Here is a 27518-nt window from a genome sequence, read left to right on the forward strand (position 1 = left end):
AGCAACGACATAGGGCAGTGGAAAAAGAATGAGTTTTGGAGTCAAAACCCCTGTTATCTTGGAAAAGCCATTTAACTTCCTTGACCTTCAGTTTCATCTTGTGTAAAATCAGAATAATAATGCCAACCTTATAGAGTAATTTTGAAACTTTTTTTTTTTTTTTTTGAGTTAGAGTCTTCCTCTGTCACCCAGGCTGGAGTGCAGTGGCACGATCTCGGCTCACTGCAACCTCTGCCTCCCGGATTCAAGAGATTCTCCTGCCTCAGCCTCCTAAGTAGCTGGGATTACAGGCATACGCCACCACGCCTAACTAATTTTTGTGTTTTTAGTAGAGATGGGGTTTCACCATGTTGGCCAGGCTGATCTCGAACTCCTGGCCTCAAGTGATCCGCCCACCTTGTCCTCCCAAAGTGCTGGGATTACAGGTGTGAGCCACCATGGCAGCTGTAATTTTGAAACTTAATGAGGATGTATATTTAAGTGCTTTGCAAATTGTGTTTATAATGTATTTGTTATTTTTACTGTTTAATTGTCTGCCCCTACCCTGTTCTGGAGAATCTTGTACCATCATTAAAATAAGTAAATCCATAGTGCTATTAATCTTGGAACATTCTATGTGGAATTGCCCATATGAAAAGCAGTTTGATTATGACAGAATGCCAGGCAGCAGTGTTCCCATTGTGTTGAATAAATGGCATCCCCACAATCACAATCTCAAATACCAAAATCAACAAGGAAAATTCCAAGCAGCTGCCTTTATAACTTCTGATTTGTGGGCCACATTTGAAACCACAGTTTGATTTCTCAGTCTACAACATTTTAATTCATAGAGCAGGTCTTTCTCTATTAGCACATTCTCAAGATCTTTTGTTGATCTTGGTTTCAGTTGCTCTGGAGAACAACTGCCTTCCAAAGCTCCCTTTTAAAGTAAATTTTCTTTTTAATAGCTAATTCTATTTAGAGGTGGACCAAGCCAAGAATAGCCTCCAAGTTCAGTGACCATCTTTGCAGTCATATACAAGTGATGCAATCACAAAAAGAAAGAAACTTAATTTTATGCCGCTAGATATGAAAGACAGGTAGCTATGAATGCATGGCTCCAGGACCTTCTGCCATGTCAAATGAGCTAAACCCTTCCCCGAAAGCCAGCCAGGAAAACGTATGATACCATTTGCAATGGTAGAATGTTGCATGCTGTTCTTCTGTAATTATAATGGCCTGATCCGTGTGGAGTGGGTGAGTCCTGCTTAACAATCGTTAATCTACTGAGTCTTCGTATCAGCCTCCCATCTTGAGGAGCAGCAGTTCTTGGCTGGATGAGTCGGTCTTTGATTTCATTATAATAAGGATAGCTTTGTTAAAATTCCGCTGCGCAGTGGTGCCTAAGGATTCTGGGAAAAGGTTTTTCTTTTTATTTTCCCCTTTTTTTGCACGGTGGGGATGAATTGTTTCTCTCTCTTCCATCCCCTAGGTTACTGTTTGTGCTCTCCCTTGATCTCCTGCTTGTCCCTTTATTTCTCCACGTTGTGAAAGTTTCTTTCTGTGTGACCAGGAGTCTGTTTAGCAGACCATATTGTGAGTGAAGGGCCAGCGTTTGTTGCCTGATTTTGGCAACGCTGGGTAGTCAGCTGGGATGTAATTAAGACTCTGAGAACAGGCTGTCTTCTCCACGGGAAGGGCATGTTAGATGGTGCTGGGATTTGGGGCTGTCAGTTTGGCCAAGGATGGAGACAGAGAGCTAGGGACAGAGATATTTCCTTTCATTTATAATCCCTTTATGTACAGTGTGTGCACTTGGCAAAGTTTACATATAACCTAGTGGCTAGAGCTTACAAGCCAACGCAGTGAAATTAGCATATGTTACATGTATTTTTTAGTAATATTTTAAAGCAAGTGCATATTTCCAAAGTGAATTATGCATGGATGACAGCAATAGGGTTGTGTTGCACTGGGTGTCAAATCCCACAACTTTTTGTCGAGACTGTGGGTTTTACACTAAAAAGGCAGAAAGACTAAACGAAGTAAAACAGTTTTAATTTTTAACAGTTTGGTTCGGCCCAAGGAGCCGGGCTGTGACAGATATAACTGACATTTGAATAATTGGATTAATTTAGAGAAGGGCAAATCCGGTTTTGACGGTTGTGCTTGTGTGTACATCTTTTTTTATTATTATTTGCAGGAATGGAGTTGTGTGGTTTAAATATACACTTTTTGTGCTGCCTAGCAAATCTTGAGAAAACATCACAAAATTTATGAAATTATCATTTAATTAATTTGTTTTAATTTATATGTATGTATATGTGTGTGTTCACATATTATGCAGCCTTCATATGTATATAAAAGAAATTCACCATATATACTTGATTCGGGTCTATCAGTGATATACATATATACACATTGCACATACAAGCACATTGTATGTGCACTTAGGAACTTAGTAAATCCAGCTTGAGATAATGTGCATGACTTCATAGGATGTATAGAAAATGTGCAGACAAGGAAGCTCACTGTGACATTGGCAAGCCCCTTTCCTCCCCATATCAATGTGTTGCAAAACATCACAGTGCAGAAGCAGAAAAGCCTAATTTGGTATCTGGGGTATCAGTAGCCAAATTCTACATGGTTGATTCCTCAGTCCTAAGTTCCTTCAGATTCATATGGCTTTTTAAGTTTCATATATGAAGATAATCTTGGCAACATAAAACCAAGTACAGCACCATCATCGCCACCCTCCTCCAGAAATTCTGGTAATGAAATACACCATCTAAAATCAGCAGGCCAAGTCTAGGACTCGTGGCAGGCAGTCTTGAATTGTGGCTGTGGGCTGGCTCTAAGAGCCTTTTCCCCAGCAGGACATTAATAGACATTAACACTCTCGGACAAGAAGTGTTGATGTGTGGTTTATAATGTTAGCACCCAGTTAGGCAGGTATAACACATGCTGTAGGAATCTTGTACCAACACATGTGTGTGTTGAGTCAGATTAATGAGAACCATAAAAGGAGAGACATTTCACTTGAGCTGGGGACCTCATCCTATCCTTTTACCAAGTAAACCAGTGCTCAGCTGGGTGGCAGTGTCCTGGTGGGATGTTTTCAATATTAGCATAAGGAGGATATTTGAAAGTTTTGTTTTGCTTTGTTGTTATGTGATCATGAAGCCCAAACTGTTAGTCAGTACAGCACATTCAAACTCCTTTTCATCTAGTACTGTTTGGCTCAGAGGAAAGGAAACTTTCACGATATTCACAACTACACTATGGGGCAAAAGTTATTATTTTCCTCTCTCAGATTTACCTGACCCTTCTTCAAGTGTTTCTGAATGATTCTGAGACACTTTCTGGTTTACTTTGTAAATGGGGCAATGAAGCATTCTTATCTCCTGACTGGTTCTCCTTAGAGAATTCTCAAAGCCTTTTAAAATTGTGTGTTTTTCTGGGGCAGCCTTGAAAGTCCCAGGAGTGAAGTTGCCATCTGTCCTTTATATTAAAAGAATCTTCTGTATTGTATACCTGATGTGCTTGTCCCAGAGATAGATATTGTTAATTAAAGGACAGCATTTGTCCTTTATCTGAAATAACTCTCTTGCCTGAATAACAGTTTCCCAAGCCTTAGGAAACAGGTAAGGACATTCGGCCCAGAGCCCTGATGTTTACTAAAGGTCCTTGGTCCAGGAGCTGTCCCTCAGCCTTCACTAGATCAGACATGTAGACTAGAAAATTACTTGCTTATTTTTTGGGGGGGGCTTGTTTTCTATTAATTCATCTACCAACATTATGGCCTTTTGCATGCGTGTAAGTAAATGAACATAATATATACTGTCATTGGTAGTTTGTGCTTTTTTTGTGGCGACTCACAAACAGCGAGTTCCCAGACATTCTCACCACACTGCATCTTTATGCAATAGATGTGACAGGACCTATATCCTCCAGTGTCACCTCTCTACTACTGCACACTCTCTGTTTCTATACCTTCTGCCCCTGGGAAAAGAAAAATGCAAACATCTGCCTACAGCAAACAGAGCCAGAGTTCTGCCAGGTGATAGCTAGAATATGTATAGGGAGAAAGAAAGCCTCGCCCGTAACCTGCTCTATCTCTGTCTCAGGAAACGCAGAAAATAATTTGTCTCTGTAATATAGAAAAGCAGTTAGGGTAACGTGGCTGTGAACTGCTGCCTAAAAGTGTGCTGTGTGCTCGCCTCTGTAGTTGCTAAGCACGGAGGAGGAGGCTAGCCAGGGCCTTGCCACAGACTAACTTCAAGAAAAGAGGAAAAGAGTGCACCAGCAGACTCTGGACTGAGGAGCATGTCCAACGGAGGAGGCGAGGTGTGGCCAATGGTTCTTTTGTTGATAAGAAAGACCCTGAAATTGCCTGTTGCATGGTGAGGAGAGTAGTAGATTGGACCGTAATTTTCTGGTGACCTAACAAACCAAACTAAAGCTCAAGTTTAATAGGCAATGATTCCCGTTTAAAAGGGAATTCAAATTATTTACAGTTCTCCATCATCATTTGCCTCCCTTAATCATATGGACTAGGAATTGGGCAGGTGACATACAAGAGGGAAGCCGACTTGGGTGAAAAACAACAGGGGCTGGGCGCGGTAGCTCAAGCCTGTAATCCCAGCACTTTGGGAGGCCAAGGCGGGTGGATCCCCTGAGGTCAGGAGTTCGAGACCAGCTTGGCTGACATGGAGAATCCCCATCTCTACTAAAAATACAAAAATAAGCCGGTTGTGGTGGTGGGCGCCTATAATCCCAACTACTCGGGAGGCTGAGGCAGGGAGAATTGCTTGAACCTGTGAGGCAGAGGTCATAGTGAGCCGAGATTGCACCATTGTACTCCAGCCTGGGCAACAGGGCGAGACTCCATCTCAAAAAAAAAAAAAAAAAGAAAAGAAAAAAGAAAAAGACAACAGGGATGGTGGTGGGTATGGCAAACAGGTGGGCACTTATGCTGTCTACAAGGGACAGTTGCTTCCAACTCCAAACAGTTATTACCTTACAGAGGTGTGGGCCCAGGATTGCAAGACTAGATTTTTCGGTGAAAGCCGCCAGTGTGACACTTTTTGAGTTTTCAGTGTTGGCAGATAATTCACTGTTTTAAAACATGCAGATAAAACTCAACTGTAGTTGGATGTACTTTACGGGTTGCTAGTTTGCACACACTTATATACATAATGCAGAACATAAGTGGGAATATTCTAAATAATAGACAGTGTGGAAACTTTTCTTAATAATAGTAAGAAACTGAGCCCCAAACAACTATTAATATGTTTAGATGTTTCCCTTTGGGTCTTTATTTACTGCATATACATTTTATATACATGTTTTAAAATAGTTGTAATCATAGGAGCCTGTGATTTTTCACTTACTGTTAGAAGCAGTTTCTTTATATGATTTATAATGGCTACTGGATATTCCATGTAGAGGATGTATTACAATATGCAAAATCATTTCCTTATTGTTGGACCTTTAAGTTGCTTTTGATTTAACATAGTTATAAGTAATGCTGCAATTACATATTTGCTTATACCGCTTTCTCCTTTTTTTGGATTAGATCCTTAGAATCTAAAAGGAAGATTACTAAGTCAAAAGATATGAACGTTTTTATGGCTTTTGGTACATATTACCAGATTGCTTTCCAAAAGCGTTGCACCAATTTACACTGCAATCAGCAAAGTATACATTTATCCTTGAAGCATTATTATATTTTTGAGGTTTTTCCTTCTAAACTGGTAGGTGAAAATTGGACTTCATTGATGTTTGAGTTTGCATTTCTTGAGGTTTTCCCGTTAATCTGTCGACTAATTGTATTTGTTCTTACAACATCTGTATTTTCTAAGGTTAAATTTTGTGGAGGTTTTGTTTGCTTTGTGTATATGTGTGTATTTTTAAAGTTCTCTTTATAACAATTGATAAATAATTTGGGAACAGCCCCCTTGGCAAGGCCTTCCTCTAGGGGACCCCCTGTCTCAGCAGTGCTGCAGCTGCTACTTTTAACTGTGTGTTAACTCGGAGTTGGGCCAGGGCCTAAGCAGGATCCCCTTCCCGAAGAGGGGCTCTTTTGTGTCTGGTGAACCACAAGCTCAGGGCTGTATCTGCCAATATGTTTTTGGCAGAAGCCATCTAATAAAATCCCATCCGCGCTGTTCTATGAAATGCAGTCACAAATTTGGATGATGATTGCCTGATGCCATATTTTGGTAACAGCTAATCTCCATGTCTTAGATGGTTTTTATTCATTGCCTCCCCCCTTCCCTCCTTCACCACTCTGCTTGGTGCATGTTTTAACGACAAATGATGTATAATCTGAGTTTCATGTAGCATGGTCTAATGGAAAGGCACTGAGCCAGTCATATGGAGACAGGGGTCCTATTATTGGCACTGCCCTTTGCTTAATAATAGCTTAACAACTACAACAAATATTTATCCTGTGCTGAAATGCTCTTTCAGCATTCTTCATGTATTCTTGAATCTTCCTAACAGTCCTGTTAGACAATATTATTATCCTCGTTTAGGTGAGGAAACTAAGGCTCGGAGTATTGGAAATTTCCAGTACTTGTATTGGAAAGTATGATATTGGACAAGTATTTTCAATACGTGTGTTGAAGATATTGGAAATACTTGTCCAATATCATCCTTCATCTCTCTGAACTAAAAATGAGTTTTTTATTTCTAGTAATCTGTCTCCCCATCTGCAAAATGGAGTTGCTTCTCTTCAACTCAGAATGGTGGCATGGAACTAAAATGATGCCATGTAGATATTAAGTTGCCTTGAGTATTGAAATCCAAGACAATAAATTGGTAATAATATGTAGTTATTAACTAGTTCACCTCTGTGACTCTCAGCTTCTTCATTAATTAAATGTAGGGACTGAACCAGATTCATTTCATTGGTTACTTTCAGCTATCACATTTTCCCATCAGCCACAGACTCAAATGTTGGTGGATAAAGCCTGCGTGGTTCCCAGAGGCTGTGCATACTGCCTACATTTCAATCAGCTCTACATTTTAGGTACATCCATCCCTCTCAGCTAGTGTTCTTAGGAAGAAAATGCAAACTTTTAGGAAGGAGAAATCTCACTCTTCAGTGTTTGTGGAGAGTGCAGGGAAATTCTCTTAATGGAATAGTAGAGATACCATTGTCTGACAGCCACTGTAAAGCCATATGGAGCTGCTTGCTTTTGGCTCTGGAGATATTGTGACCTCTTAAAATATATTTTTCTAAAAAAGGAACATGCCTTATTTCTGTTTTTCTTTATACTTCATCCCCAGGTAGGAATTTAACCAAGATGGTTAACGGAGAAAGTAAGGCATTGACTCAGCTCCATACAAAAATGCATTCTGGCTTGTTTGCATAAATATCACAGAAAAATAGGGGTTCAGGATCCCATATGGCACTTAGCCTCCTAAGCAAAGATCATCAGCCATAGACAAGAAGCAGGTGGCCTGGCATCGAGAGCAGAGGTTATTTTTGCTGCTGGGCTCCCGCCATTTCAGAGTTTAACAGTGGCAAGTCTACTCAGCAGGAGGCTGACCCCAGATGCTCTCCCCTTGTCGGACATGGAGCCGTCCCATGTCCCACCTCCACTGCTGGGAGTAAACCTGATCAAATCTAGGCCACAGTTAGACTCCCAGATAAGTCTCTGTTTAAGCTTATTCCCATTTGCTACTTAAATACCACTTCCAAATCTGATTCATTTGGGGTGAAGTCACAGACTTAATTGTTCACCCATCCTGGGTGGCTCTTGAAAGCCTGTGATAATGATATCTTGGCATTTTCTTTTAGGTGAACCCTAGTGCAACAGGTTGGAAAGGGCTAGTTTTGAGGATAGTGTTAGAGACCAGAGGTGTGGAAACCTGGATTCTGCCTCTGGTTCTGCCTCTCCCTAGAGCTCAGTCTCACTGTGTGTAATATGAAGAGATTTGGACCGTGTCTGGGGTTTCAAATTCAGTTGCCAACAGGGAAGTATAAAAAATGAATGAGAAGGGAAAAGAAAGGAAGAGGGAGACCCAGTGGAAAGGTGCATGAGGGAACTTTGGGGCGAGTGTGAAAATGCATATCGTGATTGGTTGATGGTTATATGGGCATATACATTTTTCAAAACTTGTAGAACTTATACTAAAGATCTGTCCACTTTACCGTATGTAAAATAAGTGTAAAATGAGTGAAATGGACTAGGTAGTAAACTGCAGAGCATATACCTCATTTAAAAGGGGCGAATGATAAGCTCTAGCCAATGGCTTCTCTTCAGAATAGAGGCCCAGTGTTGCTACATTTTCAAGTAAAGCCAGAAATTCACATATTTATATAAAATCTCAGGATATGTAGATTTATGGGCCCTGCTTGGTCAAACAAAATGCCAGTTTTGTGATCTCTGAACTTTGGGCTTCTTAATTTGAGTCTGAGGATCATTTTAGCTTCAACATTGGATGATGCCGACTTGCGGTGAGACCTCAGACAAAAAGATTAAACTTGCCTACACCTCAGTTTTTTTCACCTGTAAGATGTTGATAATTCATGACTAATAGTACAGGGGTCTGATGAAGAGCATATGAGGTACCTTGTACAAAGCCACTTTGAAACATGAATAAATAACATAAAAATGCAAGTCACTATTACCTTTTTTATTATTATAAAGAATTATTTCCGTTTTTAGAATTGTTATTGTTCAGAATTGAAGCACTAAACTTAGTAAAGATGGCTAATAAAAACATCAAGATTCACCATGAGTAAATGACTTGCCTGCAAATGATCATGCAAACCTTTCACTATCCTTAGAGGGGAATGTTTCTGTTGTGTGTGACAAGAAGAAAAGGCATTTCATTTGTACAGCTACTCATATAAATTGCAAAAACCATGGGAGCTGAAGTCCAAGGTACAGCAATAGCATATAACGAAATGAACTTGATGCTGTATTAAAGATTCTTTGTCACACGCACTCACTGCCTAGGAGTCGTAATGCTCCCAGCCTTGTCACTGACATTTTGTGAACAAGCAGCCTGTATTGGATGGTGATAAATGGATTATCTTAAATGTCATTCTGCACTGTTTTAGAGTTGCAAAGAGAGTTTTGATATTGAGTTTTTGGTTAGTATATTCTGTATCAATCCTTTCTGATGAAATAATCTCCTCAAGTTACATCCAGAAATGTCAAAGTTGCTTATTTCTTCAATCACCCATAGCAATGTTTCCATTACAACGTATGCAGAGAAGATTGTGTAATAATGTCAAACTATTTATAGAAACATTTCCTAGGAATCTCTACTCTCCTTGAGTTGTTTGTGTATTTAATACTAGAGATTTGTTTTTATATGTATATATATATTTCTATTTCTAAATTGACTTCAGCTGAGGATGTTGTACTTTAGTTTTTATATAGAGCACATTGAAAACTTGGTAATATTAGCATTCGACAACTAAAACTAAAGCCACGCTAACATTTTGTAAATAGAAAGAGTCACGTATTTTGGTTTTAAATATTGTAAGTTTTTTTTTTTTTGGTGTTGCAGTTGCAGCTGTGTCCTAAAGGTTGTAAGGTTGTTATATTCATAACAAATTTAAACCTATTTATTTAGTCTAAAGTAGTATGGAATACTTTGCCCAAAGAAGTTTTCATATTTATTTTATGCTAATTTCTCCATTATTTTATCTTTAATATTTTTTGACTTTCCAAATTTAATACAATTATTGCTATTACACAGAATTTAGTCATTTGTATAAAGATTTGGTCTGGTGGACTTGTGTGGAAAGAAGCACAAAATAGATTTTGAAAGCATATCTCACATTTTACTTGGCAAAGTTATTCTAAATATTGGCTTTCTTCCCTAAAGATAAGATCTTTCTAGATACAGATATTGAAAATACTCAGTTAGCATATACCGAGTGGCTCCCTTCAGACTCTCTGTACTCTACGAATCTTACCCTCATCCTGTCATTCTACAGTCCTCAAAAAAAAAAGACATGTAATTTATATTTTAAAAATCCAAACAATATAAATAATATTAGATTGGACCATATAAAATTACTATTTTTTGTAGATCCAAACAGTCACATAGGAGCAATTTTATGTGGCTCACCCAAGCAATGAAGATTTATATTGTATTTACTACATGCCAAACATGTGCTGGATGTATATGAATTCATATACTGATTATAGCAACCCTATGAGTAGGTGCTATTATTTCCCCTAACCTACAGATGAAAACTTTGAGGCACAGATTGATTAAGTAAGTATCAGAACCAGGCAGCCTGCCACCAGAGTCTTTGCTGATCATCAGGACTCTGTGCTACCTCTCCAAAATAGCAAAGTTCCCTGGCTCTCCCACCCCAGTGTAGTGCTTTTCACTGTAAAAATTTAATGATGTCTTTCATCTTACATGTCTTAATGTGATATTCCTTTCAGCTATTCTAATCAAATATATTATTCTTTTCTCTTACAGTTTTTGTGCATTATATCTTTCTTAAGATCAACTTTCTTTAAAAACTATGTTTTTAAAGAAATTCACTTTAATGGAATTCTGATGCTTTCATAGTTTTGTTTTCAGTGTTTACCTATTTAATCCACCTGAACTTTACTTTTGTGACTGGTTGTTGAGTAGGGATTAACTTTATTATTAGGTTTTCAAATGGACGGGCAATTGGCACAACACCTTTTATGGAATAAACCATTCTTGCCTCCACTGATTTGAAAAGACACTTTTATCATATACTAAATTTGCAGAAATTTATGTGTCAGGTTTTTTTTTGCCTAATTACCAAAACTTTGTGTGTTTTTAGATATTATAGGGCCTTCCCTCCTCCATTTTCTTTTTAGAAAATTTCGTTAACTGTTTTCATGCCCTTTTTGTCAGATGAATCTTAGATTCCGATAGTCAGATTCCATAAAAAATTTTAAATCCTGTTGGCATTTTAATATAAATGCATTGAATTTATAGGTATATATGTTGGAGAATTTTTTAAATGTCACCTCATCTATTAACATGTTTTATTTCTTCATTTATTTATGTCATCTTTTGTGTTCTTAAATGAGTTTTAAAATTTTCTTCACATTCTCCTTTATTTCTAGATATTTGTGTTTATTGCTGTTGTAATGGAATTACAGATATGTCTGGTAGCTGTTGAGTTTTTGCATTCATATAGTTACCTTACTAAATTTTATTAGTTCTGGTAGTTTTTCATTTGATTCTTCTGGAATTTCTAAGTAAGGAATTAAATAATCCAAAATAAAATGATGTTGCCTTTCTCTCTCCAATGTACTTTTGTTGGTCTCTTTTTCCTGTCTTGGCTGATATTTTTTGGAATAATGTTAACTAGTAGTAGGGATAATAGGCACCCTTTGATTTTTTTTCCTGTTGTTAATTAGGATATTTCAAAAGTTTTGCAGTTAACCTGGAGATTTGCTGAGATTTCTGATCAATATCCTTTATTAAGTAAAATAATTCTTATTCTCTTTAATTCTCTTTAATGGTTGTTGCATTTAATCAGATATTGTTTTGAGGGGAGGAGGTTATCTACTGAGATGATGACATGGGTTTTCTCCTTTGTTCTTTAAATGTGGCCTATTACATTATTGGATCTTATATTGTTGAATCATCTTTCCATTTCTGAAATAGAGCTTACTGTATCTTGAGGTAATATATGCAGGAACTTAATTTGGTGACATTTTATATATAATTTTCTATAGGTGATATTTTTCTATAGCAGTATTTTCTGATGCTCTCTGACCCTGGTTAACAGGTCTCAGTAGAACTCATTCATTCCTAACATTTCTGTGATGTTACTGTTTTGAAGCTTATCCAAAGCTTGATTGGCTTTTGATTATTTTAGCATTAAGGCTTTTGCATGCAATTTCCCTCAAATCTTTGAAGTTTATTTCTGTTTATAGCTTTCCTTAGGAAAGGCATGAGTTTACTCTTTCAACTTTTTTGCTCTTGCCTCCTATCTTCTTTATGGGGAGAGAGTATACATATTTCTTTGAAGCATGATGAGTATAAATATTTCTTTGACATCTTTATGAAACCTGGAATTGTCTCTTTTCATTTGGAAAGAAATAAACTTTTCTTGCTCATCATTCTTTATGCATAAAACTATAGTTTTAGTTAGTCCTGATTTATATGCAGTGTTCCCCTAGAAAGAGATATTTATTTATTTATTTATAGACAGGGTCTTGCTTTGGTGTTCAGGTTGGAATGCAGTGCTGCAATCATAGCTCACTGCAGCCTCAAACTCCTGGGCTCAGAGGATCCTCCTACCTGTCTCCCAGGTAGCAAGTACTACAGGCATGCACCACTATGACTGGCTAATTTTTAAAAAAATTTTTTTTGTAGAGATAGGGGTCTCACTGTATTGCCCAGGCTAGATATTTAGTATTTTATAATGAGAAACAGTGAGGTTAGAGAAGACACTATTGTTTCATTTTATGCATGTATGTCACCCTTGGCAAATATCACTAATCTCGATGCACATTTTCCTTCTAAACTTGTATATAGCCTTCTTAACATGGCACACCAAATAGTTACTACCAATTGATTGGTACTTGCAATTTAAATGAGACCTATTTGCACCCCCTAGTATGGAAACAGCAGTCTTTGGATGCCAGGAGTCCTAAGCTTTCAGTCTCTAATTTGCAGTGTGAAACATCAAGCTATTTCAAAATTTAATCTTAGTTTTCACAGCTATACAATGAAGAGATTAAACTGGATAATATAATGGATTTTCTGATTCTGTTTACATATGCTCCTTCATTATTTCAGGGCCAAACATCGTTTTAGGTTTTGTAAATTACGACTAAACTGTGTATTTGTAACTTTATTATTACTATTTTGTTGTTTTCTTGTTCATTTGTGGTTTTGAGATTGTAAATACATCTGCCATTTAGCTAATTCTCTTTTGTGGCCAAGTACTTTTTCTTACTTTTAAAATTAATAAAGGCTCATTGTAGAAAATTTGAAAATTGTAGAAAAGCACAAAAGGAAAATAAAAATTACCCATAATCACCGGGTGCGGTGGCTCACATCTGTAATCCCAGCACTTTGGGAGGCCAAGGTGGGTGGATCAGTTGAGGCCAGGAGTTTGAGACCAGCCTGGCCAACATGGTGAAACCCCTTCTCTACTAAAAATACAAAAATTAGCTAGGCATGGTGGCACACGTGCCTGTAATCCCAGCAACTCGGGAGGCTGAGGCATGACAATTGCATGAACTCAGGAGACAGAAGTTGCAGTGAGCTGAGATCATGCCGCTGCACTCCGGCCTGGGAGGTAGAGCGAGACTCTGTCTCAAAAAAAAACCAAAAAAGTACCCATAATCCTACCACCCAGAAGGTTAACATTTGGTTATGATTAGAAATATTTCTGTTTTTAAAATCGTTATACTCTTTTTCATAGAATATTATTACATACATCACTGAAAAATAATTTTCCTCAATATATACAATCATTTATTTTTATCATATCTCTTTAGGGTTTCACTTTTAAATATTATGACAGACATCCTTTTATAAGAATCTTTGAGGCTTTCTTGAACAGATTCCTAGATATGGAATTACTAGGTAAAGGAGAGTGTACATTGTAAGTTCCTAACAAATTACAGGTTCTTGAAAAATATATCTGGAATGGATGTTTGAATAAAATATTGCCAATTTGATTTCTAGAAAGATGGACCAATTTACAGATTCATCAAGAGAGAATGCCTCTCCCATCTCAAGTTTGGCAGCATGGAATATTACAGTTTGAAAACATCTTTTCCAATTTTATGGACTAAAAGTAACAGAATTTCTTTATCACTACTGTGATTGGATCTTTTTTATGTTTATGGCTGTGTGTGTGTGTGTGTGTGTGTGTGTGTGTGCGCGCGTGTGTGAATTTCTTGTCCTCTACATTTTCCCCTTCCTTTTGTGGCGTACATGTTAACTGTTAACAGCTGCAGTGCCTATGAGCTCATTATCAAAGTGTTGCTCCATAATTTACAATTATACCTAACTTTGGGGGCAAAATCCCAATTTGGAGGTCAAAAAGAGACCAAAGTCTCTGTACATCTCACATGACTTTACTTGCATTAACTTTGCCTTCCTAAATTACAGTCTATAATTAAGAAGTGCTAGTCTCCTGGCCAGCTCTTATGGTTATTTTTGAAGCTCCTTGGGTGCTTGCACCCTTCCAGAGGGCTGTTACTTTGCCCCCTCTCTGGAAGCTCATTTGCTTCCACAGGAAGCCTTAAGCCAAAGCACATTGGCTTATTCAATCTGGTGTCTGGATCTTAAAACCTGGCTTCTCAGTTTATGATGCTCACCAGTAAAACACTCATGGCTCTTCTTGCCATGAAGCGAACCAGGCTTGCTTAGCTTAGCTTCATGTGTGGCCTTCGTGAATCAAAATAAGAAGAAGGTAGAACTAGTCCCACCCTTAAGTCAAGAAGAACTGGTTAGTCATGAAGTGAAGCCACATGACTTTGCTCTTTTCTATTATGTCTTCTAATTGTTTCTGACAAGAATCCCTGGATTTCTCTCACACTCTTCTAGCTTGATGCTATTGGGCTCCTTTTACCGAACAATTGTGAAATTAGTAACTAACCTCTGCTTGCTGATGAGATTGTTTGACAGCCGTTTGCTACCTGGAAACCAGAATGGCTGGAAAGAGACCTGTTTATGCATTTTTCATGTTAAATGCTAGGCAAAGAGGTTATACCCTACATGTGGACTCTAAGCTAAGGAAGCTGACACGTGGGGAGGGAAAAGGGCTGAAATCCAATGCATACGCCCCTCTTCAATCCTGGGAGATTGTATTTGCCCGTCAGAGGCACCTTTTTCTAATTTGCCCAGAGGTGCTGAAAAGGCGGCTGAGGCCCTGCTCAACTGCCTGAACAACTTACAGAAGCACCTCTCCTTCCAACCAGGTTAGGATCCAAAAAGCTGTATGTAAAACCTCTTGTTTATAAATCCAAGGTGGCATTAAGCAGCCACTGGGAGTATGATCTGTTAGGGACAGGCTTTTGCTCCAGTATTTAGGCTTGTTCTTATCAGTAAATCTAAATAGAAAGTTCCTAAGTAAAGAAGCTTCCGTATTTAAATAGCTCAAAATACGACAGCCTTATTTTTTTAATAGCGGCATTGTTTCTCTTTCCCAAAGCAACCATAACTGAGACAGGATTAGATGCAAAAACCACTTGCTGATACAGTTTAGAATTGCAAAATTCTAAATTCCAACAGATTCATATTATACACAAGTATAAACAGAGTGTAGCCAGTTTTCCTCAAAGAGATAACATGGGTTCTCCACAGTATTTTTGACCCAACAAGCCATTATTAAATTTGGAGAGAAATTTTTGCCTGGGAACCTTGGCTCACACCTGTAATCCAGCATTTTGGGAGGCTGAGGCAGGAGGATCACTTGAGGCCAAAAGTTTTGAGACCAGCCTGGGCAGCATAGCAATGCTCTGTCCATACAACAAGTTTAAAAATTAGCTGGGTATGGTGGTGTGTGCCTGTAGGCCCAGCTAATCAGAAGGCTGAGGCGGGAGGATCGCGTGAACCCAGGAGGTTGAAGCTGCAATAAGCCATGGTTGTGCCACTGCATTCCAGCCTAGGCAACAGAGCAAGACCCCATCTCTAAAACAAATGGGAGTAGAGTTCTAATGGCATCCAAAGGTAAAGGCCCATATTCCCTGGTGTTCCCCAAATCATTGCAACAAAAAAGCAAAGCCATTTACCCTCTAAGTAATGTCAGTAAACAATGAAGGAAAACCTGAAGCCTTCCTGCTTAAGAGCCATTCTGAGGCCTGGCATGGTGGCTCACGCCTGTAATCTCAACACTTTGGGAGGCCAAGACGGGCGAATCACCTGAGGTCAGGAGTTTGAGACTAGCCTGGCCAACATGGTGAAACCCCATCTCTACTAAACATGCGAAAATTAGGTCCGGGTGCGGTGGCTCACACCTGTAATCCCAGTACTTTGGGAGGCCGAGGCGGGCAGACCATCTGAGGTCAGCAGTTTGAGACCAGCCTGGCCAACATGATGAAACCCTATCTCTACTAAAAATACAAAAAATTAGCCGAGCGTGGTGGCAGGCACCTGCAATCCCAGCTCGTCATGAGGCTGAGGCAGAAGAATCGCTTGAACCTGGGAGGCGGAGGTTGCAGTGAGCCAAGATCGCACCACTGCACTCTAGCCTGGGCAACAAGAGTGAAGCTCTGTTTCCAAAAAAAAAAAAAAAAAATTAGCTGGGCATGGTGGCATATGCCTGTAATTCCAGCTACTCAGGAGGCTGAGGCGGTAGAATCATTTGAACCCAGGAGGTGAAGTTTGCAGTGAGCCAAGATTGTGCCACTGCACTCCAGCCTGGGCGACAGAGCGAGACTCTGTTAAAAAAAAAAACAAAAAACAAGACATTCTTAGCTTCATTTCAATATCTCCATCCTAAGCCTTAGAGAAAACTTCAGTCCTCACCTCACCACATTCTGTTATTAGAAGGCATTAAGAAGGAGGTGTTCTAAGTTCTTCTCAACCTTATTGAGGATGAAGGTGAAGGGTTGTACCCTTACAATAGGGCATGGTATACCTCCAATACACCTCTTTTCTTTTGTCTGCCCATGTTTGTGACTATGATGTCCTAAAGCACTTTATGTGAGACTTAGATTTTCTTTTTTCATGGTGTAAGTTAAATATGAAGTAATCTTGATTAGGCCTTTTGTTCACAGAACCAATGAACTGATGAAAACCTTGATGATATTCATGTGTCTAATGTTATCATCGGAGGGGTTTCAGTGAAACAGCTTAACTTTAGGTTCAGAGAGGTTTCATTCTCACACCAGATCCAGAAGTTACTATTATAATACCTGCTTGCATGAACTTGTTCATGGTACTCACTGGTACAAATTTATGGCTTCAAGTGATAGAATGCTCAGTAATATTGCCCTCTTGGAAGCTGTGCCCAAGAAACTTAGTTTCCTAACTGGGCTCTGCAGCTGTTGAAACTTCATCACCTTTCACCTGAATCTCTACAATGCTTTGCAAATGAGGAGCTGGTGAGAAAAATATGCAGCTCGAAGCTGGCAAAGTTTTAAGTGGGTAAAGCTTGCAGTGTTAAGATCATAGCCCCAAATTACTTAAGGGCTTCTGCTAACATGAAAATAAGACTCTTGACTGCTGAGAGATTGGATATTCAGATAGATTTTTTTATGAAGGAAATAAATATTTCAACATGCAAACACTACCCAAGCGGGTAGTGATGCTTCAAAACAGGGTCAGAGGTCAGGTTTTTTTCTGTTTGTGTTTTTTGGGATGGCTCCAAGTTTAAAGGTATTACACATCACTACCTACCCCGAGCCTCACATGGTAAAGTAATTACTGCTAGCTAGCGGAAAATATGTACATTCATTTTTATTTCCAAAGATCCTGAGATTTCTCTCTGCGCTTTTTGTGGTCCTCATTATAAAAAATATATCATGAAGAATGATGGTTTTTCTCCATCCTAACGGTAAAAGAGTCAAGCTGAAAATGCATGTCTGATACTCAACTTTTTTAACAAACTTAATTTTGGAGGAATAAATAAGCATAGAATGTATTTATTCTTTAGAGAATAGTAGAGTTCATTTTTATAGTTTGCCTTTAAAACATGCAACAGACCCCTAGGGTATTGGATAATTTTTAGAGGAGATGCTGACCTGGTGGTCAGCCATTTTGACGGAACTGGGGCCCAGGATATCTTCAGGCAAGCATAAAGATGTGTGGCATACATTGTTCTGAAACTTAAACACTGACTTTCTCAGTGGAGTGGAATTTGGGTGACTGTTGGAATTGCTAAACAGGACTTAGAGTTTCAGAAACCCTTTTCTCTCTGCCTTCAAGTAGGGAAAATAATTATTTGCTGAGCAATTAATTCGAATTCACAAACACACACACACACACACATCAGATATGGTAAGCTCAGATCTCTGCAGAAGCCGGCAGGTAATGTCAACGAGTGAAGCAGGGGTTGGTGTAATACATTAGGGAGTTGTGGGGACAAGAAAGAACTAGAAAGCACACCCCCGGTCTAAGAGGACAACCAGCACTCTGCTCCCAGCCAGCTGCTGCCATGAGAGAATATGGGCCCACTGTTGTGTACGGCTCAGGGTTTTTGTTTTCTGTTTTTCCAAAAGAAGCCAGAAATCCAGATGTTTGTATGAAAGGTATTTTTATAAAAATTTTGACAACTAATATAAAACACTATTTGAAAATGTATTTGAGGGCTAGCTTTGGCCTACAAGCCACTAGGTTGTAACTTCAGCTTTCAAAAATTGCAAAAGGTAGAGCCAGCTGCTTAGTGGCCATACCTTCTCATTCTCCAAGGGAGGTGTTTGGAGCCTGGTGCATTCTAAACAATGACTGTTCTGTGGCTTAAAACCCTATTGTGAAGAACACAGTTACTCTGAAATTGAGGGCAGCTTGTCTCATTTATATCATTTCTTTTTAGTGACACAGATCCTTCGTTAAGGCCAACTTTTAAGGGAGTCAAGTTGCAGAAAAGTTTACAGGGCATAACCACCCTCACCTTGCTTTTCTTACTGACTTTTAACCATCACAAAGTAATTACTTTCCCTCCTCTATCCCTCCCTTGGAATGGGTCTTTTTTTTTTTTTTTTTTTTTTTTTTTGACTCACTCTCTCGCCCAGGCTGGAATACAATGATGCCATGATGGCTCACTGCAGACTCGACCTCCCCAGCTCAAGTGATCCTCCCACCTCAGCCTCCTGAGTAGCAGGGTCTACAGCGCCCACCACGATACCTGACTACTTTGTATTTTTTTGCAGAGACAGGGTCTTGCCATGTTGCCTAGCCTGGTCTCAAACTCCTGGGCTCAAGCCATCCTCCTGCCCCAACCTCCCAAAGTATTGGGATTACTGGCGTGAGCTACTGTGCCCATCCAGAATGTGTTACTTTTTAAAGTACATTGTGAGGCAGGACAGTATTCACATTGCCTTTCCCAGAGCCCCTAAAGCATCAACTGAAGATGGTGTCCCTACTGCAGTCAAACAGAAATGCTGAGTAATGACTGGTTTAATAATGATCAGATAGACGAGAAAAGGCCTTGACTAAGTCAGTGATATTGGGATATGATTATTTTAATTATTTTAATATTGATTCTTTTGGTGTCTTTTGGATTGTTTAGCTGTCGCTTTTTCTCTTGGCTTTTGAGGTTTCAGGACACGGAGTAAAATGATGGAAATGTGTTTGTTTTTCAGGGCAGAGAGGAGTGTTGGTAAGTAGAGAAATTACATTGTGTCCTCAGCTGCCATTGATGTCCTTCCAAATAGGTGAAGTTTAGTTTAAAACCTGCCGTTAATTTCTGGCCTCTGGCAAGAGTGGTACAAGGTTACCTGTTTGTTCCAGTATGTGTAGGGAGGGGCTGGGGGTTGGGGAGAGAGAAGGGTGGCAATTAGTCAATGACATTTATGACCCATTTATAAAATACAAATGAAATAATTGGTTACAAAATCATGACAAGCCTTCACTTGTCTTTTACAAACTTGTTCTCAACACACTGTGAAACTTAATGGACACCCTTTGTAGAAAGTGAGGAACAACAGCCATTCTGAAGAGACCGATTCAAAGCGTTCAACCTGAGACTAGCTGTGGTGGCGAAGATTCTCTGAGTATGTTTCTCATTCTCATCTCAGATACCCGCATTATTATCGCAGATCCAGAGGCAGGGAATTTGTAGATTCCTCAGCCAGGGAATTGCCACAGTTTTGGTGTAGGATGACCAGACATGAGAAAGAAAAAAATTTTCCCACAAATCTTTAAATGCATGGGACCCTTTGGGGTCTTTGCTGAGATTAGAGCACTGTGTGTTTATAAATAAAAGAAGAATAAACAAAGGCAGCATGCACTGGCAGTCCCCTCCTTCCTGCCCTGTTAAAATGCTGTGTGAGGTGGCATCGAGAAAATGAACGCCAAGGTTGACACCAAATGTAGGGCCCGAGTGATTTTTCTGTTTTTCAAATCCGCTGTCAGTTCTCCACCTCTGACTCTTAGTCTTTTTCTCCTTCCCCACCTCTAGAGAGAGGACATTTCCTGAGTAAAATGAAAATCAAAGCTAGGAGCTAATCATATTTTTAAAGTCAGATATGTTGGGGGTATAACTGGAAGCTAATTTTTAAAAGAATCCTGCCATATCTTTGATAAGGAAGTTCTATGGCTTAAAGAGTGTAACCACTAGTTTTAGCAGAGATGTTTCCTTTAGTTTTGAAACATTCTTCAACATTTCAGGTTCATGATGAAAAATGGCTGACTGGATTTAAGTCCTTTATTTTCTATACTCCTGAGCAAAATTCTGAAAAACTGGCTGGTCTAGTTTAGAGAAGAACGCTGATGTGGGAGTATTTTCACCATGCATTCCTGCTCTAAATCCTTTGCTTCTACTGATAGACTATTCTACTTTCGAAATAAGTTCACATTGCTCTAACACTTCATAAGTTCAATCTTTTTCTCATTCTGTTTAAAATAACCACCATGACCACCAAACGCCTGAAATTCACTGTAGTTAAAATTATGACTGAAATAGACAGGGAAAACCTGAGAGTGAACGTTACCCAGCAAATCTGGGTTAAACAGGTTCGAGTTTTTCCAGAGCACACTGTTTAGGATTTCAGCTTCCTGTTCAACCATCTCGGAAACAGGGTGTTTCTCTGCTCCTTTGTGAGGACTAACCATGTGTCCCCGCCACTTTGCACCAAAGCTGAATATCATCCCAAACTCTGGATCCTTCTGACGGGCATTTGTGTGGTACACAGGAAGGGGTGCATTATGAATATGCAATTACTGGCATGTAATGCTGTCTTCTGCTAAAAATACAAAAAGGGTACTCTGATCTCAGAGTTGGGAGCTGATTTCTGATTTCAGCCTAGACAGGTCTGCTTAAAACTATAATCAAGCTGATTGTATTGCCCTGGAATTCTAATTTCCAATTTAGGGTTTTGCTATATAATCTCTAGTAGAGTGTGTCTAATCTTTATGAAACCCAGAGTCTTTGTATAAACTCTATGGATTTTCTTCCATGCGTCTAGGCTGAGCTGAGCTGTGTCTTTAGGCTGAGCTGTAGAGACATTAAATTACTGAGTAAATGAAGGTAACGTTGTTATGTCACTCTGTTTCTGAAAGACCAACTCAAATTCTGTCTGCTGTAGCTTTGATCCTTTTCATTTAATTCTAAGTACACTTGTTATTATAGTAACTGTTGTTTGTATGTTATTTTAGCTTTTTACTTAAGTAGCTATTTAGCAATTTAAATGAAAATGTAATTAGGTTACATCTGTTTTACATGCATGTAATACCACGCAGATGTAAACTTCTATTAAAGCCATATTTTCTTTTTGGCAAGAAAAGGCAGAAACAAAATCGTGCCAGTCGCTGGAATACGTCTTGCTCTAAAAAAATTAAAAAAAAGGATATACAGAGCACTGTGCCATTATTTATATGGTGGTTAGAGTACATCACTTCTATTTTTTGAAAATTAAAAAAAATATTAACAAGTGAAAAACAAGCATTCTATTCCATGTTCCCTCTTACAGTTTATCTGGATACGGTGTTTAAAATGACAATACAGCCAGGCGCGGTGGCTCACGCCTGTAATCCCAGCACTTTGGGAGGCCGAGACAGGTGGATCACCTGAGGTCAGAAGTTCAAGATCAGCCTAGCCAATGTGGAAAAACCCCATCTCTACTAAAACTACAAAAAAATTAGCTGGGCATGGTGGCATGCGCCTGTAATCCCAGCTACTCGGGAGGCTGAGGCAGGAAAATTGCTTGAACCCAGGAGGCGGATGTTACAGTGAACCGAGATTGCGCCACTGCACTCAAGCCTGGGCCACAGAGAAAGACTCTGTCTCAAAAAAAAAAAAAAAGAAAAGAAAAGAAAAATGACAGTATGGCTTCCCCCCATTCTATGGGTTTGTGCACACAGAAATACACCCATCCTCCCATCATAAACACTGGTTCTTCCAACTCCACAGATAGTGGAAAGAGTCAAGAAGCAGCCGAGATTCTAACCTAGCTCTGCTTTATGACTTTGGTAAAGCCATTTTACTCTTCAGTATTATTATTTTTTAAAACCAAGAGTAATATTTGCCCAGTTTGCCTCATAGACATGTTGTGAGGCTCAAGGGAGATAATGAATATGTAGGTACTTTGAAAAGTATAAAATGCAATTGTTAGAAAGTATTATTAGTATATTAGTCTGAAAACAGCATAAGCAGTAAGCCCCCCAGATACCCCCACATTTTTGTGTGTACAATGGGGATTGAACTTAGAAAATTAATTCTCCTGTTTTGGGAACCATTGCCTCCCTTATAGCCTGTTAATAGGATTTATAAAACATCATTTCAGACAAAGTCATTTATCTTATTTGCTAATGAGACACAAAATTTGGACTGTCTGGAACCAGGTAACATTTTAAGAGTTGCCCATTTGTTTCATACACGTTCAGCTTTTCAGTGCAGTCATTTTTAATGGTGGTTTTTATAGCATCAATAAAAATATTTTCATATAATTCTTCCTTGTAAATATGGTTAAACTTTTAGCTTTCTACTACTTGGTGACCTGTTAAATAACTTAATGTACTTTGAAATTGATTGTTCAGTGCCAAGACAATAAGAAGCCAGGAGGAGCCAGCTTTATTTTTTACGTTGGGGCCTTAAGTTGGGCTATGAAGAAAAAATTCTGGCAGGGTTTGCCACATCCAACTTTTAAGGGTTTTTTTAATCTGTAAGAGGGAACATGGACTAGAATGCTTGTTTCTCTTTCCTGTCTGTCTTAAGTAGTATCTTAGATGGCAAGGAAAGGAAATATTCTACCCATGTCATAACATATCTACCATTTATTGAGCACCTACTATGTGCCAAGTTGTATTCTAAATGCTTCATGTATTATCTCATCTGATCCTTAAGGCAGACTCATAGGTAGGTACTACTGTTATCTCCTATTTTATAGGTGAAGAAATTGAAGTCTAGAGAGGTTAAGAATTTTCTCAAGGTAAGATAGCTAGTAAATGGTAGAGCTAGGGGTTTAACCTTGGCCATCTGGCAACCAAGACATAGGTTTGAACCCATTATGCCTCATCATACCTCATAATACCTAGTATTATAAGGGGTTTTGTTGTTTTTTCTTTGTATTGGTTTTGTCATCTGAATCAAACGTCTTTGACCTAGAAAGAATCTTAAAATATGCTTCTGCCGCCTCCCTCTTTTATCCCAATTCAGAAAACCATTTTTTGGGAGACCTAGGTGCCATAAAAATGAAAAGAAATGAGGCATGGTGCTCATGGTACTCACAGTTCAGTTAGTGAGGGGGGTTGGTAAGTAAAGGGGTATGGCTAAGTAGCCCGCCAAGGAGGATGACATGTGCACTAAGCTGATACTTGGCTGATGTGCTCTGAGAGGCCAGAGCAGGCAGCAGTCAAGGTCAAGCAAAGCTTCATTTGACCTGGGCGTGAAAGAATGTGCAGGACTGTGGTAAGCAAAGGAGACAGGTGGCATTTCAAGCTTCAGGAATAGAATGAACAGGGAGTTGGAGGAAAGAAAACACAAAATGGCCTGTTACAATAGTTAAGGCAAGAGATGGGGAAACCTTCAACCTGGTCACCAGCAGACGACATAAAGCAGGAAATAAAATGACATTGCAAAGGCAAGGTGATGGGATTTGGCAATTGATTAGCAGTTGGGAGGGAGAGCACTGGAGGCAGGTACTGGGGTCTCGAACCCAGTAGGATAGTAGGAATGTTAATCATAAAAGGCAACTCCGATTTGGGAACACTCATTGTAGTTGGGGAGGTAGAATAGGGTAGACGGCAAGAACTTGGACTCTATATTCAGATGGTCCTGGGTGGCAATCTGTGCTCTCCCACTTACTGGTAGAGTTACTTTCAGCAAGTCACTTGTTTAGACTCTAGTCTCCTCATCTATAAGGCGGGAATAATATTAACACAGCTGACACTTGAGCAACACAGGTTTACACTGTGCAGGTCCACTTATACGTGGATCTTTCAAAATAAAAGCTGCACCAAGTATGCCTGCCTCTCCTGCCTCCCCTTCCACCTCTTCTGCCTCTGCCACCTCCAAGACAGCAAGACCCACCCCTCCACTCCCTCCTCCTCCTCCTCCTCCTCTTCAGCCTACTCAAAGTGGAGACAATGAGGATGAAGACCTTTAAGATGATCCACTTCCACTTAATGAATAGTAAATACATTTTCTCTTCTTCGTGATTTTCTTAACATTTTCTTTTCTCTAGCTTACTTTATTGTAAGAATACAGTATAGAATGTGTGTGTACATATAAAAAATATATGCTAATTGACTGTTTATGTGAATCAGTAAGGCTGCCGGTCAACAGCAAGCTATTAATAGTTAAATTTGGGAGGAGTCAAAATTTATACATAAATTTTAGCCTGCAGGGGGTCGAGTGCCCCAATCCCTACACTGTTCAAAGGTCACGTATAGTGACCTCATAGTGTTATTGGAGCTCAGGTAGTACCTGTAGCATGCATAGCACAGTGCCTTATAGCATACATTCAATAAATACCACTTAGTAGCCTCTTGGCTACTACTCACTCATTTGGGTGAGTAGGATTTTATCCCCATTTTATAGATGAGGATGCTAAAATTTGAGTAGGTAGAGTAGCTTTCCAGAGTCCTAAAGCCAGTAAAGCCTGGCAGGGGTGAGTAGAGACCCAGGCTCCTGCCTTGTGGTGTAGTTTCTGACTTCAATTGTAGGTCACTTGCTGCCCTCACACCAGACAGCGGCAGGCCAAGTCTTCTGGTGCTGTTACTTTGACCTTCCTCCCATAAAGGCTGGATGTAGCAGAGGCAGGCACTGTCTCTTCTCTTACCTTCTGTGGCCATTTACTGAGCATGTATGGTGTGTCTCACATGCTTTTACATGCTTTGCATACATTTCTTTTTCCTTTTCTTTTTATTTTATTTTATTTTATTTTATTTTTGAGACAGAGTCTTGCTTTGTTGCCCAGGCTGGAGTGCAGTTGTATGATCTCGGCTCATTGCAACATCCACCTCCAGGGTTCAAGCAATTCTCCTGCCTCCGCCTCCAAAGTAGCTGACATTTCAGGTGCCCGCCACCACGCCTGGCTAATTTATGTATTTTTAGTAGAGACAGGGTTTCACCATGTTGGCCAGGCTGGTCCCGAACTCCGGACCTCATGTGATCCACCCGCCTCGGCCTCCCAAAGTGCTGGGATTACAGTGCTTTGCATACATTTCTAATGACTGAGTATAGGTTTTCATTTTCTCCCTTTGCTTTCTTCCTATAAATCAGACAGTCATTTTTTTCTAGAGTCCTTTTCAGCACCCCAGAGGGAGTTGTATCCTTTTGTGTGTGCCCTGTGGAATTTTCATGGCAACATAAGTTGTATTTCTTCATGACTCACTGCCATAGGAAGACCACCCAAAACATACCCTCTTCTGTAACCCAAATCTCAGCGTGTGTCCTTATTTTCCTTGTTTTCAGCATGTCCAAGTGAAGCCATTAAGTAGGTAATATACTGTTAGACACAGATCGTGGTGCTTGGGAAAACAACACCCAAGCCTCGTGATTAATAAGCACTGTTAATTGTTAAGCTGCTCTTGCTGGTGTCTGACCTCACGGGGTTTGTGCTGTGACAGCTCTTTCATGTTGATGAGGTAAATGAGTCTCTGCCATGATGGCCGGGAGAAGCCAGGACAGAGTATCAGATCGTGTTTCACCAGGAAAACAAGGTTGATTTACTGTGTTACACGAGGGTGAAGTGGACCCAGCACCACTGCACCCCGTGCTTTGATTCCCTTGTATGCTAAATATGCAAGCACAAAACAGCTTTAACACAATTTTTTACCTAGAAAGGAGCCTGGGGCTGCATCCAAGTACATTTAACATGTGAAAATTGAGCTGCTTTGAACTTGTATGTTTTTGATAACTGCTTGGTATGCTTCCTGGAGGATCACCTGTAGGCTTTTCTTTCCAAATCCTAATCCCTTTGATTGAGTGCCAGGACAGATAGCTCTCATTGAATAACTCCAGTCTCATAATTCTTCCTTCATTCAGAGTTGAAAGGGAACAGCTCCAGATTCAATAGGCACATCCTCAGATTTAGCTGAAGTCATTCAAACACTTTAAAACTGAAATTGTTTTGTTCTGAAGTAGGGTTCAGTTGGGCTACTGAATGTTTACACAAGCCAGTTGCTGCCAGGAACTGTAGGATGGGGAAGAAAACCACACTTCTCCCCGCCTCCACCCAGCCCCCTTGCCTTGCTTCTCTCTGCCTCTGTAACCAAGAAGGATTACAAGGACGACTTTGAGCGTTAGAAGTTTCAAAGCAACCTGGCAGGATTGTTTGTAAACGTGGGCATAAGAACGTGCTTGACTCTTCTTGTTTTCTGTCCTCCATGAGACCAGGCTGAACACTCCTCCCCTCTCCTCCCAACCCCCTTTTGGAGGAAGGAAAACAACCATGTTCTTTTTATCTTTACAAATGTGCCTGGTGGGGACTAATCTAAACCAGTTCAAGATGCTTTTGCTTAAGCCTGTTTAGAGGAACGGAAGGTGCTGCAGAAATGGAAATAGAGTGGTATATGGGCCTCTTTGCCACCCCGCTCCTGAGCTCGCTGCCTCTTTTTTGTTTTTGTGGGTTTCTTGGCACCTACCTAGATTTCTGCTGAGATCTCTGTTTCAGGTCTTTTCAGAGATCATGTTTCCTAAAAGATGGTTCCTTTCTGCTGGACATCCTGTCTCTGTCCTATTTGGCCAGATAGTACTTCAGTTGGGAAAAGCCATCTTTCTCTTCGTGCCTGGTGCCCTATTTCAGAAGGAAGCCTGAAAAGTCATTTCCATATTCTGTGTGTGATTGCGTCCTGCCTAGCTTATCACAGTGGTTGTTCCCTCTCGGATGAACAATTCCTACCCTCCTCTTTGCCCAGCAGATGAAGGCAAGGATTGTAACCCATTATTAGAGTATTGAGGACCTGAGTTCCCCACTCATGTTGAACTTGAGGCAAGACTGGGCGGTTTATTCCCCTCTGGCTACTCTCCCACTTGTAAAATGAGGCGACATCTCTAATCATTGACACCAAACAAGAACATAGCCTAATAATAAAATGAATGGTGTTATATGGTCATGAAGAAGGTTCAAGACTGGAATCTACTCCATAAGGAAGGACACAAAAAGATTCAACAGTGATTTAGACAAATCTCATCTGAACACATTTTACAGATGCCTGTTGAACTAAAAGTTCTGTCTAGGACTGTAGTAAGATTTGACCCGGCTTAGCCTGGGAATTTTGACCCACTGATGGTAGAAGTTTATTAACAGCCCTATTCATTTAGATCCTTCCCTGTTTCTACTTTTCTCGTTCTCTCCCCGGAGGGTTTTTATGACGTTGTAATCATTTATAATTTTAAAATGTCTTCAATCGTGCTTAAAAACAGCACTTGATTTTAATGGGTACTGCTTAACCATAGAAAGATTGTGTCTGTATTACTGTCGGTTCTTACAACAATACTT

General features: G+C 39.7%; 1 protein-coding gene across 19 annotated transcripts in view; it reads left to right on the forward strand.

Moving 5' to 3' along the window:
• The window catches only part of FTO (FTO alpha-ketoglutarate dependent dioxygenase), a 417979-nt gene that overhangs the window by 261758 nt on the left and 128703 nt on the right, over nt 1-27518 (forward strand). For 2 of the 19 annotated variants that reach the window (XM_011523314.4, XM_017023656.3), the window contains exon 9: nt 1-27518. This exon is cut by the window's right edge and continues 30871 nt beyond it. The exons of the other annotated variants lie outside the window; for them this stretch is intronic. In XM_011523314.4, coding sequence (XP_011521616.1) covers nt 1-13 — 13 coding nt within the window. In that variant the 3' untranslated portion in view covers nt 14-27518. 19 annotated transcript variants of the gene reach the window in all.

Source organism: Homo sapiens, chromosome 16, assembly GCF_000001405.40.
Source record: "Homo sapiens chromosome 16, GRCh38.p14 Primary Assembly".
NCBI lineage: Eukaryota > Metazoa > Chordata > Mammalia > Primates > Hominidae > Homo > Homo sapiens.